Source organism: Homo sapiens, chromosome 6 (assembly GCF_000001405.40).
Source record: "Homo sapiens chromosome 6, GRCh38.p14 Primary Assembly".
NCBI lineage: Eukaryota > Metazoa > Chordata > Mammalia > Primates > Hominidae > Homo > Homo sapiens.
This window is the reverse complement of record NC_000006.12, coordinates 159,920,379-159,938,015: the sequence shown is the minus strand read 5'-3', so window position 1 is coordinate 159,938,015 and position 17,637 is coordinate 159,920,379. Positions and strand designations below refer to the sequence as shown.

The window sequence follows — 17,637 nt, the reverse complement described above, 5'->3', positions numbered from 1 at the left end:
TCTACTCTGTTCCATTAATCTATTTGTCTATCTTTATGCCAATGGCATGCTGTTTTGACTGCAGTAGAGGAATTTGAGCATGAGAAGTTTAAAAATGGCTCTGAGGTCCATCTTATCCTGGAGATTTGGAATTCCTTTTTCCTTCCAAGTCAAGGGGGAAAGCCTACAACCTCTTCTTAAAGGTGAGCATGACCTGTCTTTTGCTCAAAGGGTCTTAGCACTGCTGCCAACAAGTTGCAACAGAGAATTTTCTGGGCCTTTGTGGATGATGGGAAGCTCTGCAGAAAATTCATCCATCATTGGCTCCCCAAACCAGCCTCAGAGCCAAGCTGACAGCAAACCAAAGGCCTCATGTAGCCACTCCCACTGGCAAGGAGGAGTGCCCTCTCCTGTAGGAACAAGGACTACGGGGTGTCCCTCGTTCTGGACACTTGCTAGCAGTTTCTGTAAAGATTTCCAGACACGGGGGCTGAAATTAGACATTAAAATCACATTTGGGAATATTAAAGAATTTATTGTACCTCCTTCCCGTCCCTCATTTCCCTCTTCCAACATCACTCTCGATCTTCAGAAATTGTGAGACAGTTACATGCTAAGAAGGAAGTAGGAAAAGAGGCTGTCTCTAGCTCTGTCTCCCTAGGAGCATGGTATTGATGACCTGCATGAGCCTGGCACTGGGCAATGGGCAGGGCTGGACAGAAAGTTAGGGGAGCAGGGAACGTGGAACCTTCTGTATGATCTGTGTGATTTGCCTGTAAATCTAAAACTATTCTAAAATAAAAAGTTGTTTTTTGTTAAAGGTCCAAGTAACTGTTTAGAAGAAAAGTTAGGGAAAGGAAAGGTTTATTAAAACTAATGAAAAACAGCCTAGCCATTATAAAAAGTAACGGCTCTCTTTTTTTATTATCTTCCCAACTGAAAAATGACCATAAATCTTCAGTCTTCCACAGACTCCTATTTGTTGGGTGTGCATTTCTTCAAGCTGTGAAACAGCCATAGATGGCTCCATGCAGCAGGAGCAAACGTGTTTTTGTTTCTCCCCCAACCCTTCCTGGTTCAAACACCCTTCCCTTTGTTCCTCCTTCTCCTCAACCCTGGTCAAGTCATTTTCTTTCTGGTTTAATCAGAGATAAGAAAAGCAGATCTTGAAAGTCTTTTCACAGGAGAATCTAAAAATCTCAGTGCTGATGGAAGGTATGGAAGCATGGGAAGTTAAAGAAGAGGACTTCCGGCTCTCATCATCTATCACCGCTGCTCTGGCATAACACAAATGGAGGATATGAAAACATCCATTCTGTGACCTGGGGATCAGCCCCCTGCTGAGAAAGGTCTTCTACTGAGGAGTGTCCCACTAATGGGATAATCTCACAGACGGGTAAACACAAAGACACAGGGCTCTGTCACACACTAGCACCAACCAGGTTGCTGTGTTTCCTGGGTCACAGATTTGCCCAGGAGAAACTCCATCCACTAAACCCAAGTGTTAAAATGAAAGCAAATACATTGGCGCCTGAACACAACAATGCATGCTACAGAGTGGAATTCCATAAATGGCCTTTTACTACAATAAAATCACAAGGAACTCAAGATAAAACCATTGAACAGTATGTACAATAAGGGCAGTGTCAGTCCAAGACTTGGAGACACTTACCAAATGGAATGGAGAAGGCATTAAATATTCATTGACATGTCAAGTCAGTCTTTCCACATAGAAGGTTCAATGGAGAATGTAGTGGAAAGACCCAAAGTGACCCCCAAAGACACCCACCTTCTGGGATCATGCCTCTGGGTACTCTCCTCCCCTTGAGTGTGGGCAGGACCTGGGACTTACTTGTAACTAACAGGATATGGCAGAGATAATGGGATGTCCCTTTATGATTAAGTTACCATATATATAAGTCTCCCTCTTAGGAGCAGACATACTGTACTCTCCCTTACTGGCCTTGAAAAATCTGACATGAAGTAAGTGGCCATGGTGAAGAAGCCCATATGGCAAGGAACTGCAGGCAAACTGCCATTGCTGAGAGCAGCTTCAGCAAGAATGCAAAGCCTCAACCCTGCAAGAAGAAGGAAATGAATTCTGCCAACAAGCTGAGGGAGCTTGGGAGTGGATCCTTCCCTGGTTGAGTCTCTGATGACACTGCAGCTGAGTCAACACATTGACTTCAGCCTAGTGAGATGCTGAAGCTCAGAACCCAGATGAGCCATGCCCAGGCTTCTGACCTGCAGAAACACTGAGATAATAAGTGTGTGTTGTTCTGGCTGCTAAGTTCATAGTAATTTGTTACGCAGCAGTCGCTGACTAATACAGGAGATAAGAAATAGTTTGACTTGCTAGCCATTTTTACTTTCATAAAAATGTTGTTTCTAGTTATCCTTTCATGCTATGAGAAGCATCCTTTCCAACTCCCACTGTCACAGAGGGGATCCCACATCTCAAGCTCATGGTGGTCCCCCAGCTGAACTAAATGACTGACTGTAGAAGAGGGGTGGTTCCCCAAAGGAAATACAGGGTCTCATTACCAAAAGAAAAAGGAGATAGAAAGTGAACATCAAAAAAATAGTAATTGCCCACCTGAGAGCCCTCCCCATTTAATTTGACAGGGGAAGGAACAGGTCCAGAGATGGTGAACGGCTTCCACGATCACACAACAACTTCATGGCAGGGCCAGAAGCAACACTTTTTCCTCATGCAGTCCAGGAGTCTTATCACCAGAGCACACTGTGTGACTAATGTCTTTAGATGATTTCATTTCTCTGTTATTTTAACCTATTTAGGAATATTTATTCAGTGAGAAGGCATGAAAATCAAAGTTAAATAATTGGTGAAGATAAATAAAAGTTTTTTAAAAATCCAACAGTGGAATCAAGCTTGTTATTTGGAAGAGAAATGCCTACTTGGCTGCCCTTTTAAAACATTTCCAACTGGTTTTTGCATACTTGAGACTTTGAATTACTGCCACGACCAAGAACAACAGAACAGCAAATATGAACCTGTTAAAGAAAGAAAAGAAAAGAATTGAGTTTTTGGTTTCTATTTCCCCCCTCCTCCTCTTCTTTTTCTCCTTTCACATATAAACTCTCAAGGGTCTTTTCGTATAAGAGAAATGCAGCCTTTTGCATTGAGATTATATACTCAAATGCCCCCGTTTACCTGTAAATAAATGAGTGGCTAAAGGGGCCAGTTTTGTGCTGAGCACTATGCTGGGCACAGTAGAGGTGACTCTGGGCTTGAGTCTCCTTCCTTGACCTTGTGATTTCTGTCCAGTACATCTGTGGCCCAGGAGCACCAAAGCTTCCAAGAGTAGCAGCAGCTCCTGAGTTTGGATCACAGCTGCTCAGGACCCCACAGGGGTCCTGGGACCACAGAGCAGCTGCATAGAAAGGTCCTATAAGTAGCATGTCACTGCTCAGCCCCTCAGAAGCCAGTCAGGCATTTGCCTCTTGCGTTGCATTCTGCTTTTTATTAAATTGATGCCGATTTCACCAGGCATGGTCTTAGGGATGCCCACAATTCCATGAAGGCTAAGGGGGCAGAGGAGGAGGGAGGATGCAAGTGGAGCAGAAAGTATGTATAGTGCTACATCTTAGGAATTCTGCCACCAGCTTGCTGTGTGAGTCAGAACAAGTTAACCTCTCTGAGTCTCAGCCTCTCCTGTGTAGAATAAAGATCATAAGGGCTGCTCTGCAACCTCAGCAGGTTGGGCATGTGAAAGCTGCCCGTAACATGTTTAATAAGCATTATGGGTGCCAGTTTGAGGCATTTCTGTTTCCATAACCACTTCTCACCCATGGCTGAGGCCCTGAGGGCTTAGAGGTGATCATAACTGACACGGATGCAGTGCTTACTGTGTACTACGTGCTATGCTATGCACTTTACACATGGCAACTCAGTTCATCTTCACAACTGCCTATGAGAAAAACATTATAATGATCCCCCATGTATAGATAAGGAAACTGAGTTACAGAAGGTTCAGGTACTTGTTTGGAGTAAATAGCTAGTGTGCTGGTACATCCAGAATATAGGTTCTGGCATTGGGGCTCCAATGTTTGTGTTCTTCATCAACAAATTCTGTGCCTTGCAGATAAATGCAGTATCACCCAAGAAAGGGACCAAACAGCCCAGGAAACTATCCGTCTCCCTGTCTCCCACCTCCTCTCTCCCATTCCCCATCAGCTTCCCCTGGCCCTCTAAACCTACTTCTGGTCTGTAATACCTGTATCCTGCTCCAGGTTTCTGGATCCTGGGCCCTGTGCATTGCTCCCTCTATTGAATTTGCCTCTTTGACTTCTCTTAAGCACATGTGGCTTTCTCCAAACTACTCTTAGCTCTTGCACTGCAGCCTGGCGGCTGGGAGTTCGGTTGGTTCCAGGGCTTGTCTAGCTGTGGAATTAGGAAAATTGCAGTTTTTGGTCATTTGGTAAAGAAGGCTGCTTAGGTGACCCTTCAAAACCAATATTGAAAGAGGAGACAGCAAGCACCTGACCATGCTAAGGTAGTAATGATGCTAGTCAACCATCGAGTGGAACTTACCAGGAGATTCAAAACCCTGGTGGTGAATTCCCGTTCAGGTAAGCTCCAGGAGAACAAAGAGACAGCACCAGGAAAAGAGATCACCCTTAAGTTCTTATCTGCTGTGACACAGATTTTTTAAAGGTTCTGAAAAGATCATAGTGGAGGAGGAGCTGGGGAATTGGGCATCTCCTCTCTAGCATCTGCTAAACAAGGATCTTGGGCATAAGGCCAAGCTGTGGGCTGCTTCATAGAGCCACAATGCTCTTCCTCCAAGTCAAAGTTATGCTAACACTTTTCTTTTTATCAAAAAGGTCTTTTGAGTTCATGACAATCTCTTTTCTTCAGTTTTCAATCTCAGAAAGGTTTAGTGTATTTTTGGATTACTTGTCAATGTATTTGGCAAATGAGAGTCCCTCTATTCCTTAGAGTGGTGCTTGGAAGCTCATATCTGATGTTGCAGTAGCAGTAACTACCAGTATCCAACCTATCAATATTGCACAGGACTAGTCTTCGTTGGTTGGCCACTCAAACTTTTGTCATTTTGTCATATCTAACCAATGAAACAATGGGTTGTATCTGATAAAGTGGGGCCAAAAATATACATGTGATCTGCCCTAGTAAGTAAAAGAATTACTCACTCTCCATCAAGTGATGGGGAGTCTGGGGTTTTTGAACTCCAGACTTAGCTGCCCAGGCCATCTGGTCATAGGAGCTGCCACTCCATTGAGTAGTTCTGATTGGTTGCTGATACGGCAGGCCTGGGAGCATCCCTTTCTCCTGCATGTCCATGTCAAATATCTTTATCTGCAAAGATATTCACTTGATTTAAGGGCATGACCTTCAATAGTCACTTGATTTAAGAGAAAATCCCCTTCTTAGCTCAAGAATAACCTCCAAAGACACACACAAAGATATTTATGGGAGACACACCATCTGGGATTGGCTTTAAAATTCTTCAGCAGCAATAACTACGAATAACAACAACAAGACAGGAGTGGAGTTAAATAAAAAGGAACTATGGAATGTTGACAATTGTTGAGCATGAGTAATTTTATCTATGTATTTATGTATTTTGTTAACTAAATTGAAAGGCCAAGAGGAAAACTAAAGCACCCCAAAGTAGCATCACAGGAACAGATTTCCTAGGACTGAGGGCACAGAGGGAAGGATTTGCATTATTAAAACTAGTAAATCTAGAGGAGACACCATTTTTGCTGGGATCCAGGCTTCTGAGGAAGGGGCACCTTCCTGGCAGCAAGAAAGTGCTGGGATCTCTGAAGTGCAATCTGATGATGCTGGTGCTGCCTGTGCTGGAACAACTGCAAAGTGGCCTCAGCTGCTGCTACGGAAGGACTTCCAGCTGCGAGGGTGAAGAAGCATGGCTGGAGGAAGATCGTTAAGATGAGAATCACAGGATCACAAGCAGACATGGATCCCATAGGGAGCAAGCAGAAAGGAGTGTGTTCCCTTTCCTCCTCCTCCAGCCTTCTCTCTTGAGCCCCCTGTTAGCAAAACCTAAGAGAGAGCCAGTGGCATAGCAGACATGTTTGCAGAGCCTTAGCTCGAGCATCACACAGCTGAGCATAGACAGCTGCTTATTGAGGGATAACATAATAACTGGCACAGTGGACTTACTTTGCCCCCTGAGCTTGTGCTTATCTTTTCCAGCTTAGTTCATTTATTCACTAAACCTTGAGCTAGATGTCAGGTGCTAGTCTAGATTGGAGGATATGATACTAACAAGATGGGCATAATCCCTGTCCTGGGACTTCAGTCAACCTTGACTTTTTTTTCAGTCTTTCACTTTTCTAATAGATTCCAGCCTCTGGCTCCACCCCTGCTGCTGTGCAACCCACTGTGTTGTTCTTGTCTTTTTATTATATATAAAATATACATAACATAAAGTATACATAACATAAAATGTACCATCTTAACTATTTTTAATGTACCATTCAGTGGCGTTAAGGACATTCACGTTGTTGTAAAACTGTCTTCATCATCCATCTCCAGAACTCTTTTTCATCTTGAAAAAATGAAACTCAGTAATGATTAAACTCTCACTCCCCACTTCCTCCTCCCTCCAGCCTCTGGCAACCAGCATTCTACTTTCTGTCTCTATGCATTTGAGTACTCCAGGGACCTCATATAAGTGGAGGCATACAGCATTTGTCCTGTTATGACTGGCATATTTCACTTTGCATATTGTCCTCAAGGTTCATCCATGTCATAGCGTGTGTCAGAACTTCCTTTCTAAGGCTGAATAATATTCCATTGTATATTTCACATTTTGCTGATCCATTCACTCGTTGACACGTGTTTGGTTTGTTTGCACCTTTTGGCTACTGTGAATAATGCTGTTATGAACATTGATGTATAAGTATGTGTACAAGTCCGTGCTTTCAGCTCTTTTGGGTATATGCCTATGAGTAAAACTGGTTGTTCATATGGTAATTCTATGTTTAACTTTTTGAGAAACCACTCCATGTGTTCACAGCAACCATACCGTTTTACATTCCCACCAGCAACTGGTATCTATGAGGGTTCCGATTTCTCCACATCCATGCCAACATTTGTTATTTTTCTTCTTTAATAACAGCCACAGGTGTGAAGTGGCCCACTGTGGGCTCTGGCATAAATTTAGCCTGAACACATCAAGTTTCTGCACAGTGTCCTTATTGAGACAGTGCCTCAGTTGTCACCCTTGTAGCCTTTTTTCAGCCCAGGCTTTCTCTCCTTTTCCAAACCAGTTTGTTTTTATTGGCTTTTGGAAGTTTCACCAGTTCTCAGAGAGAAGGTTTGTATTCTTTTGATAGAATGAGCTTAATGAAATGTCATAAGATCAGAGATGCAGAAAGAAACCAAGAAAGAGCTTTTTACTTTGATGTGTAGGAGTGTGAACACTGATGGGGCAGGAGCCCTTTCCAGTCTCATCTGGAGGCACAGCAGCAGGGGTGGCCTGGGCCCCAGTAGCAACTGCAGCATTGGCTACCAGTGGGCCAGTTGGGTACCAACCTGAATGTCCAATAACTGGACAAACATACTATGACCATAGAGTGTAATTTCATGCTAGCATTAAATATGCTTCAAAAACATATTTAATGACACAGGAAAGGCATATGACTTAACTTAGGTGCAAAAACCTGAATACAAAGCAGTAATGATGTTCAATATTATAAACATGCCCTTTAAAAGACTAAGAAAAAGTACATCAAAGTGTTAGCACTTATCTATGATATAGGTCACTTTTAAGTCTCTATTTTCCTGTTCCCAGATGATTTATGATAAGCATTTCACATATTTTAATCAGAAAACAAGAAAAACATTTTTAAGCAAACACACCAGTGGCTGTAGTGGGTGCACTAAACTGGCTGCTAGCCAGGGAAAGCACGTGGAACCGCCTGGAACTCTGCCAGGGAAAATCCAGAACGGGGATGGTGGCCGAGAGGATTCAGCTATTTTTATAACTGCTGCCACCGTTACCTGAGCCCTCGCTTCCCTCTCCAGCCTGGTGTGGTGTAGACAAGCAAGGGTGACAAAGAGTTTACAGCAAACATACAACCGCAAGCTCATTGCCACCTCGTAATAGAAAGAACCCCAGAATTAGGGAAAGCACCATTAGCTACTGAGATGTTTACTGATGAAAGACTCTCCTCTTTTTCCTCCATAGCAGTTATATAAATGAGCCAGACGTGGCCTCGTGTGTTGGCCTACAATGTTGTTTAGGCCTTCACAGCAGGCTAGACCACTAGCTCAAAGCCCACTGGCACCAAACTCAAATTCTTCCACATTGATTGCTTTAAATATAGTCCAGAGAAATCTATTTTTGGCAATTTGGAGCCTACCTACTTTACATAGCCCACAAAACTGTGCCCAACATCTGCTAAGCCACAGGTAAGATGAACCTTGTTCCTATGAACTACGCTGTATTAGTCTTTATATTAACATAATGTCATATATGTACATACATGATAGAATGTATATACAGTCATGTGTCACTTAACTACAGGGCTATGTCATTAGGCGATTTTGTCATTATGCAAACATCAGAGTGAAGGGTATTTTAAAAGTTATTTAAGTGGTACACCTGTACAGGGCACTTACCACGAATGAAGCCTGCAGGACTAGAAGTTGCTCTGATGTCAGTGAGTGAGTGGTGAGTGAATGTGAAGGCCTAGGACTGTACCGCACACTATGATAGACTTTATGAGCACTGTACACTTAGGGAACACTACATTTATTTCTTCAATAATAAATTAACCTTACTTTACTGTAACTTATTCACTTAATAAACTTTTTAATTTTTTTGTAACTTTTTGGCTCTCCTGTAATAATATTCAGCTTAAAACACAAACATACTGTACAGCTATACAAAATACTTTCTTTATATCCCTATTCTATAAGCTTTTTTCTATTAAAATTTTTTTTTCACTTTTTATTAAAGACTAAGACACAGACACACACATTAGCCTAGGCCCATGTAGGTTCAGGATCATCCATATCACTGTCTTCCAACTCCACATCTTGTCCCACTGGGAGGTCCTCAGGGGCAATAACATACATGGAGCTGTCGTCTCCTATGGTCACAATGCCTTCTTCTGGATGCCTCCTGAAGGGCCTGCCTGAGGCTGTGTTATAGTTAATTTTTTAATAAATAGGTGCACACTCTAAAATAACAATAAAAAGTATAGTATGGTAAATACATAAACCAGTAACATAGTTGCTTATTATCATTATCAAGTATTGTGTACTCTACATAACTGTATATGCTATACTATTATATGATTGCAGCTCAGTAGGCTTGTACACACAAGCAGCACCACAAACACATGAATCAAGTGTTGCATTACAACATTACAGAAGCAATGATGTCACCAAGCAATAGCGATTTTTCAGCTCCATTATAATCTTAAGAAATCACCATCATATATGAGGTCCATCATTGACCAAAATGTCATTATGCAGTGGATAACTGCACATATTCTAATATATTATATACACAGGTATCTATACATATATACACACACTATATATATTCTGTATGTGTACTCACACAATATATGTTATATAACATATATTTATATATATTTATATATGTTATATATATAATATTTATATATGTTATATATATAATATTTATATATGTTATATATATATAATATTTATATATGTTATATATATAATATTTATATATGTTATATATATAATATTTATATATGTTATATATATAATATTTATATATGTTATATATATAATATTTATATATGTTATATATATAATATTTATATGTTATATATAATATATAATATTTATATGTTATATATAATATATAATATTTATATGTTATATATAATATATAATATTTATATGTTATATATAATATATAATATTTATAAGTTATATATAATATATAATATTTATATATGTTATATATAATATATAATATTTATATATGTTATATAATATATAATATTTATATATGTTATATAATATATATTTATATATGTTACATATAATATATTTTATATATGTTACATATAATATATATTTATATATGTTACATATAATATATATTTATATATGTTACATATAATATATATTTATATATGTTACATATAATATATATTTATATATGTTACATATAATATATATTTATATATGTTACATATAATATATATTTATATATGTTACATATAATATATATTTATATATGTTACATATAATATATATTTATATATGTTACATATAATATATATTTATATATGTTATATATAATATATATTTATATATGTTATATATAATATATATTTATATATGTTATATATAATATATATTTATATATGTTATATATAATATATATTTATATATGTTATATATAATATATATTTATATATGTTATATATAATAATATAACATACAACATATATAAATATATGTTATAATTTATATTATAAATTATATAACATATATAACACATATAAATATATTTTTTTTAAGAGACAGAGTCTCGCTCTGTCACCCAGGCTAGTGTGCAGTGGCATGATCTTGGCTCACTGCAACCTCCACCTCCTGGGTTCAAGCAATTCTCCTGCCTCAGCCTCCCGAGTAGCTGGGATTACAGATACACACCACCACACCTGGCTAATTTTTGTATTTTTAGTAGAGATGGCATTTCACCATGTTGGCCAGGCTGGTCTTGAACTCCTGACCTCAAATGATCCACCCACCTCGGCCTCCCAAAGTGCTGGGATTACAGGCATGAGCCACCATGCCCAGCAAATGTGTTCTCTCTCTATGTATATACACACACACAGAGGGAGAGAGATTTATAAGGAATTGCCTCATGCAATTACAGAGGATGAGAGGTCCCAGGACCTGTAGTTGGCAAGCTGGAGATCCAGGAGAGCCCATGGTGTAAGTTTCAGTCCAGGTCTAAAGGCAAGAGAAGACCCCTGTCCTGGCGCAAAGATGGTCAGGCCGAGCCAGTGAATTCTCCCTTACTCAGCCTTTTTTGTTCTGCTCAGACCTCCAGCAGATTGGATGAGATCCATCCACGCTGGGGAAGGCAGTTTGCTTGACTTGGTCTTACAATTCAAATATTGATCTCATCCAGAAATGCCTTCACAGATAAAACAGAATAACATTTAACCACATTTCTGAGCATATCAATACCTAGTCAAGCTGATGTGAAATTAACCATCACAGATCTCAAACTACTTTGGCCCTTTGGAAGTCTCTGACCCAGACATTCCCCACCTTGTTGCTGAGTGACGTCACCTAGACACATAAGGCCCTTCTTTGACTCTCTCTGGCCCTGGAGTTCCCTTGCCCTCTTCTCCTTCTGGGAGGGTCTCCTGCTGCGAGGGAGCCCCCTCTTCTCAGGCAGCCCCACTCAAGCATCACCCAGTAAAGCTTATTGTACAGGGCTGCCTCTTCCTGATTTGCCTTGAAACCTTCAAGCTGACCACAGCAGTCCTCATTGTATCATTAAAGAACTTTCTTTTGACCCTTTCTGTTCCTGTCCAAACTCTTGGGGAAAAAATGATCACTTTCAAATCACCATGTCCTCTGCATCAAATCTCTCCCCAAGGGGCTGGGCGCAGTGGCTCACATGCCCAGAACTGTGGGAGGCTGAGGTGAGTGGATCACTTGAGGTCAGGAGTTTGACACTAGCCTGGCCAACAGAGCAAAACTTCATCTCTACTAAAAATACTAAAATTAGCCAGGCACAGTGGCAGGCGCCTGTAGTCCCAGCTACTTGGGAGGCTGAGGCATGAGAATCACTTGAACCCAGGAGGCAGAGGTTGCAGTGAGCCAAGATCGCACCACTGCACTCCAGCCTGGGCAACAGAGCAAGACTCTGTCTCAAAAAAAAAAAAAAAAAAAAAAAAAAAAATCTGTCTCCAAGCTCATTGCATTTCTTTTCCCTAGCTCAGGAATTCTGGTAGAGGGTGCACTAGGAAAGGAGAAGCAGGCTGGGTGAATTAAGTATCCTTTCTTCCACTGAAGCTTCTCTCAATCAACTTGGCAAAGTCAGAGCTTAAAACGCAAACTACTTTGAGAACTTTAGTGGTTCCCAAGTACTGAAAAGATTATGACACCCACTATGAACTTCAAATGAGAACAATATCAAACCGTACAACTCAAAACTTATATGTATGCTGAAAGTAAAAATAATTTCTAGATCCTTCTGGATGCAAAATGCTAAATGAGTTTATTGAAAATGAATGTTTTGTTGAAATTTTTCTTATTCTGCTTTGTTTTTGAGCCCCTGACTTGCTGGCTTGCCTAGCACAAAGCAGTCCTGTATGGCTAACACTCCAGCGTGGTAAGAAATCAAAGATCTCTGAACCAGGATCGCATAATTTATGATTAGCATGGTGCATGGCATGCAGGAGGTGATCAATAAATGTTTGCACTAATTTGGAGAATAAAGTAGAGAATTATAATGACCACTTTAAAGCCACACACTGTGGAGAACTGCATTTTTCTTCCAGCTGACCTTAAGCCACTGAAATAATGTGTTATGGAAAGTACTGTACTATATTTATTGTTGTTTCTTTTTAAAAAAAGAATATAAAGCTCCAGTTTCAATAAAGCCTGTAAAAAATGTCAAAAGGGAAAACAGTTCCTTCTTAACCAAACATTCAAGATTTCTAAATTTAAATAGTGAGGTTTTTTTTTCCCCTCAGATCTCTTTTTGGTAGATGGAGGCTGCACTATTATATAACCCTTTCTGTTGCCAAAATACAATGTAAATTAACCAAAAGGTTAAAACTGTACCTTTAAAAATATCTTAAACATTTGTTTGAATCATGGAAAGAAAGGGTGGAAGGCAACTGACCTCTGATCTTTCATTTGCCTTATTATTTGGTAATTAACAAATATATTTAGAAATGTTCTTTCTGTCACAAAAATATTGGAAATAATGTTCCTCATAAAAAGATGTCAGACAGAACTTGTAAAATGCTATTTATAGCCTTTTCAGCAGAAAACTAAAGAATAATTGATTTGGCTTATTAAGTTCTGCCTATCTCTGGAAGCCAACAAAACTCCAAACTCCCAAGTTCTTAAATGTCAGAACCCTGTGATTAAATGTCTTGATATCTACAATCTGTCTGAGGCTATTATCTGTGGAAATGTATTTGCTTCTGCCAAATATACTATTCCCTAAAACACAGGGTGGTTGGGATTTTCTCTTGGTTAAAAGTTATCTAACATTAAAATGAGCACCTATTTGCAACTTCCGGAGAGATGTACCCCAGCAGGGGAGTGCAAATCAGAGAGAGACAACATCTTCCAAAGTGCAGATCAGCCTCAAGTTAGCTCAGTTCGTGATTAGATTAAGATGATCAAACTCACTCTATCTTCCTAACCAAAGCTTGCAGCACACACCTCTGGAAGAAGATAATAATATCACCCATAACTGCAGCATTCTTAACTAGGGTTCCTGATATGGTTTGGCTCTGTGTCCCCACCCAAATCTCATCTTGTAGCTCTGATAATTCCCACATGTTGTAGGAGGGACCTGGTGGGAAATGACTGAATCACGGGGTGGGGTCTTTCCTGTGCTGTTCTAATGATATTGAATGGGTCTCATGAGATCTGACAGTTTTAGAAATGCCAGTTTCTCTGCACAAGCTCTTTCTTTGCCTGCTGCCATCCATGTAAGATGTGACTTGCTCCTCCTTGTCTTCTGCCATGATTGTGAGGCTTCCCCAGCCACGTGGAACAGTAAGTCTAATTGAACCCCTCTCTTTTGTAAATTGCCCAGTCTTGGGTATGTCTTTATCAGCAGCATGAAAACAGACTAATACAGTTACATTTTCATATAATTGGTTTCTTTGTAATCTCATAGATTTTATTTTCTGCATTTAAAAATATTCTTCAAGAAGTAGTCCTTAGGCTTCTCTAGATTGACAAAGCATTCCTGAGACACATTTATTATATGCAGTGTCCAGAATTCAACCAAAAGTTTCCAGGCACATACACAAAAAATAGAACCAAAAATAAAATCAATTTCATTTCTACATACTAGCAACAGGAAATATAATTATAGCAACCCCCCACCATCTACAATAGCAACAAAAACTAGAGGGTGCCTAGAAATAAATCTAATAAAATATGTGCAAGACCATTACTCAGAAAATTATTAAAACTATTAAAAGTTGTTTTAAAAGAACTATAAATGGAAAAATATTTCATATTCACATGTAAAAAAATACTTATCATAAGGCCACAATTGTGCTCCAAAACTGATCTATACATTCTATATAATTCCAGAACAAAATCTCAACAGTATTTTCATGTAACCTGAAGAGATATTCCAAAATCTATATGGGATGTTTTTTAAAATAAGTTTGTTCCGAAGAAAACGCTGAGACAGAGATACATGTGAAAGTAATTTATTAGGAAGTACTCCCAGAAAAAACTGGTAGTGCAATGGAGAATGCAAATGAATCCAAAAGAATTTGGGGAGAGCCCTGGCAACAGTTGCTCTATTATCCTAAACAAAATGAACAGCAGAGGGAATTGCCCTCCAGATATCAAGATTTATATAAGGCTATGGCAATTACAGCATTATGGACTTGCTAGAGAAATTTTTTAACATTGACCAGGGGAAAAAAGTCAGAGTGCTGGCAGAGCCATGCTCATTCTGAAAGCACTAGAGAAGAATCCTTCCTTGTCTCTTCCCAGCTCCTGGAGGTTGCTGGCAATCTTTGGTGTTTGCTGGCTTGTAGATGCCTCACTCCAACTTATCCTTCTTGTGTTAGTTACTTTTCACAAGACTGGGCAATGTACAAAAGAAAGAGGTTTATTGGACTTACAGTTCCAATAAACCTGGGGAGGCCTCACAATCATGGTGAAGGTGAAAGGCACGTCTTATATGGCAGAAGACAAGAGAAGAGAGCTTGCGCAAGGAAACTCCCCTCTTTAAAACCATCAGATATCATAAGACTGATTCACTATCAAGAGAACAGTGCAGGAAAGATCCATCCCCATAATTAAATCACCTTTCACTGGGTTCCTCCCATGACATGTGGGAATCATGGGAGTTACAATTCAAGATGATATTTGGGTGGGGACAGAGCTAAACCATATCATTCCACCCCTGGCCCCTGCCAAATCTCATGTTCTCACATTTAAAAACCAATCATGCCTTCCTAACAGTCCCCCAAATTCTTTACTGATTTCAGCATTAACTCAAAAGTTCACAGTCCAATGTCTCATCTCAGACAAGGCAATCCCTTCCACCTATGAGACTGTAAAATCAAAAGCAAGCTAGTTACTTCCTAGACACAATGGGGGTACAGACATTGGATATATACCGCCATTCCAAATGGGAGAAATTGGCCAAAACAAAGGGGCTACAGGCCCCATGCAAGTCCAAAATCCAGCAGGGCATATTGAATCTTAAAGCTCCAAAATTATCTTCTTTGACTCCATGTCTCACATCGGGGCCATGCTGATGCAAAAGGTGGGCTCCCATTGTCTTGGGCAGCTCTGCCCTTGTGGCTCTGCTGGGTACAGCCTCCCTCCCAGCTGTTTTCACAGGCTGGTGTTGAGTGTCTGCAGCTTTTCCAGGCACATGGTGCAAGCTGTCAGTGGATCTACCATTCCAGGGTCTGGAGGACAGTGGCCTTCCTCTCACAGCTCCACTAGGTGGTACTCTGTGGGGGGCTCCAACCAACATTTCCCTTCTGCACCACCCTTGCAGAGATTCTCCATGAGAGCCCTGCCCCTGCAGCAAACTTCTGCCTGGGCATCCAGGTGTTTCTATACATCTTCTGAAATCTAGGCAGAGGTTCCCAAACCCCAATTCTTGACTCCTGTGCACTCACAGGCTCAACACCACATGGAAGCTGCCAAGGCTTGGGGCTTGCACCCTCTGAAGCCATGTCCCAAGCTCTATGTTGGCCCCTTTCAACCATGGCTATAGCAACTGAGATGCAGGGCACCAAATCCCTAGGCTGCAAACAGCAAGGGGACCCTGGCCCCAGCCCACGAAACCACTTTTTCCTCCTAAAACTCCAGGCCTGTGATGGGAGGGGCTGCTGTGAAGAACTCTGACATACCCTCGAAACATTTTCCCCACTGTCTTGAGGATTAACATTCATCTCCTTGATACTTATGCAAATTTCTGCAGCCGGCTTGAATTTCACCTCAGAAAATAGTATTTTCTTTTCTATCTCATTGTCAGGCTGCAAATTTCCCAAACTTTTATGCTCTATTTCCCTTTTAAAACTGAATGCCTTTAACAGCACCCAAGTTACCTCTTGAATGCTTTGCTGCTTAGAAATTTCTTCTACCAGACACCCTAAAACATCTCTCTCAAGTTCAAAGTTCCACAAATCTCTAGGGCAAGGCAAAGTGCCATTAGTGTCTTTGCTAAAACATAACAAGAGTCACCTTTGCTCCAGTTCCCAAGAAGCTCCTCATCTCTATCTGAGACCACCTCATTCTGGACCTTATTGTTCCTATCACCATCAGCATTTTTGTCAAAGCCATTCAACAAGTCTCTAGGAAGTTCCAAACTTTTCCACATCTTCCTATCTTCTTCTGAGCCCTCCAAACTGTTCCAAACTCTGCCTGTTACCCAGTTCCAAAGTCGCTTCCACATTTTTGGTTATCTTTTCAGCAATGCCCCACTCTACTGGTACCAATTTTGTCCATTTTCACGCTGCTGTTAAAGACATACCTGAGACTGAGCAATCTACAAAAGAAAGAGTTTTCTTCCCACAACATGTGGGAATTGTGGGAGTTACAATTCAAGATGATATTTGGGTGGGGACACATCCAAACCATATCACTTCTGTCTTCACATGGTTCTCTTATAAGGATATATGTCATTGTATTTAGGGTCAATCCTAATCCAGTATAACATCAATATAATTTAACTAATTACAGCTATAAAACCCTATTTCCAAATCAGGTCACATTCTGAGGTCCAGGTGGACAGGAATTTTGGGGGAGGCAGGGACTCTATTCAACTCAGTATACCATATGGCTAAGAGTCATAAAAGATGCTCAACCACTTTTGTAATCTGGTAAATGTAAATTAAGCCCACAACGTTATACCATTTTACACCCTGCAGATTGGCCAACATTGAGAAGTACAGAGAGAATGTGAAGGAAGTAGACTCATATATCGTGGATGGGAGTGTAAATTGGTTCACTTGATCTGACCGGCCCACCTTGAAAGCACTTCGGTATTGTTTTATAAATCTGACCTAGTAATCTTACTCCTAGGTATACACCCAAGAGAAATTCTTGCGGAAGTGTACAAGGAGACATATATAGAAAAGTTGTTTAAATAGCAATATGTCCACATTTCAAAAAATACCTGGAAACAGTCCACTGACAAGAGGATAAATAAAATCTAGTATATTTACTCAGTGGAATATATTTTAGCAGTCAAAATAAATGAACTACACTACACACAAAGACATTGAACCACTCTGCATAATGCTGAGTGGAAAAAACAATACAAAGAAAACTACATAGAATAGGATATGATTTTTATAGACTTCAAAAACACAAAAACTATGTATTATGTAGCACACAGGTATGACAAAATGTTAATTGCAAGAGAGTGATAAAGAGAAAAAGTTAGGGTAGCAGTT

General features: G+C 40.0%; 2 annotated features.

The window, feature by feature from the left end:
• Positions 6,003–6,172: an enhancer, noted in NCBI's record as "active region_25395". NCBI's record gives its function as "activates an Ori minimal core promoter by ATAC-STARR-seq in GM12878 lymphoblastoid cells {active_cell/tissue: GM12878}" and the evidence as "EXISTENCE:reporter gene assay evidence [ECO:0000049][PMID:35858748]".
• Positions 6,433–6,512: an enhancer, noted in NCBI's record as "active region_25394". NCBI's record gives its function as "activates an Ori minimal core promoter by ATAC-STARR-seq in GM12878 lymphoblastoid cells {active_cell/tissue: GM12878}" and the evidence as "EXISTENCE:reporter gene assay evidence [ECO:0000049][PMID:35858748]".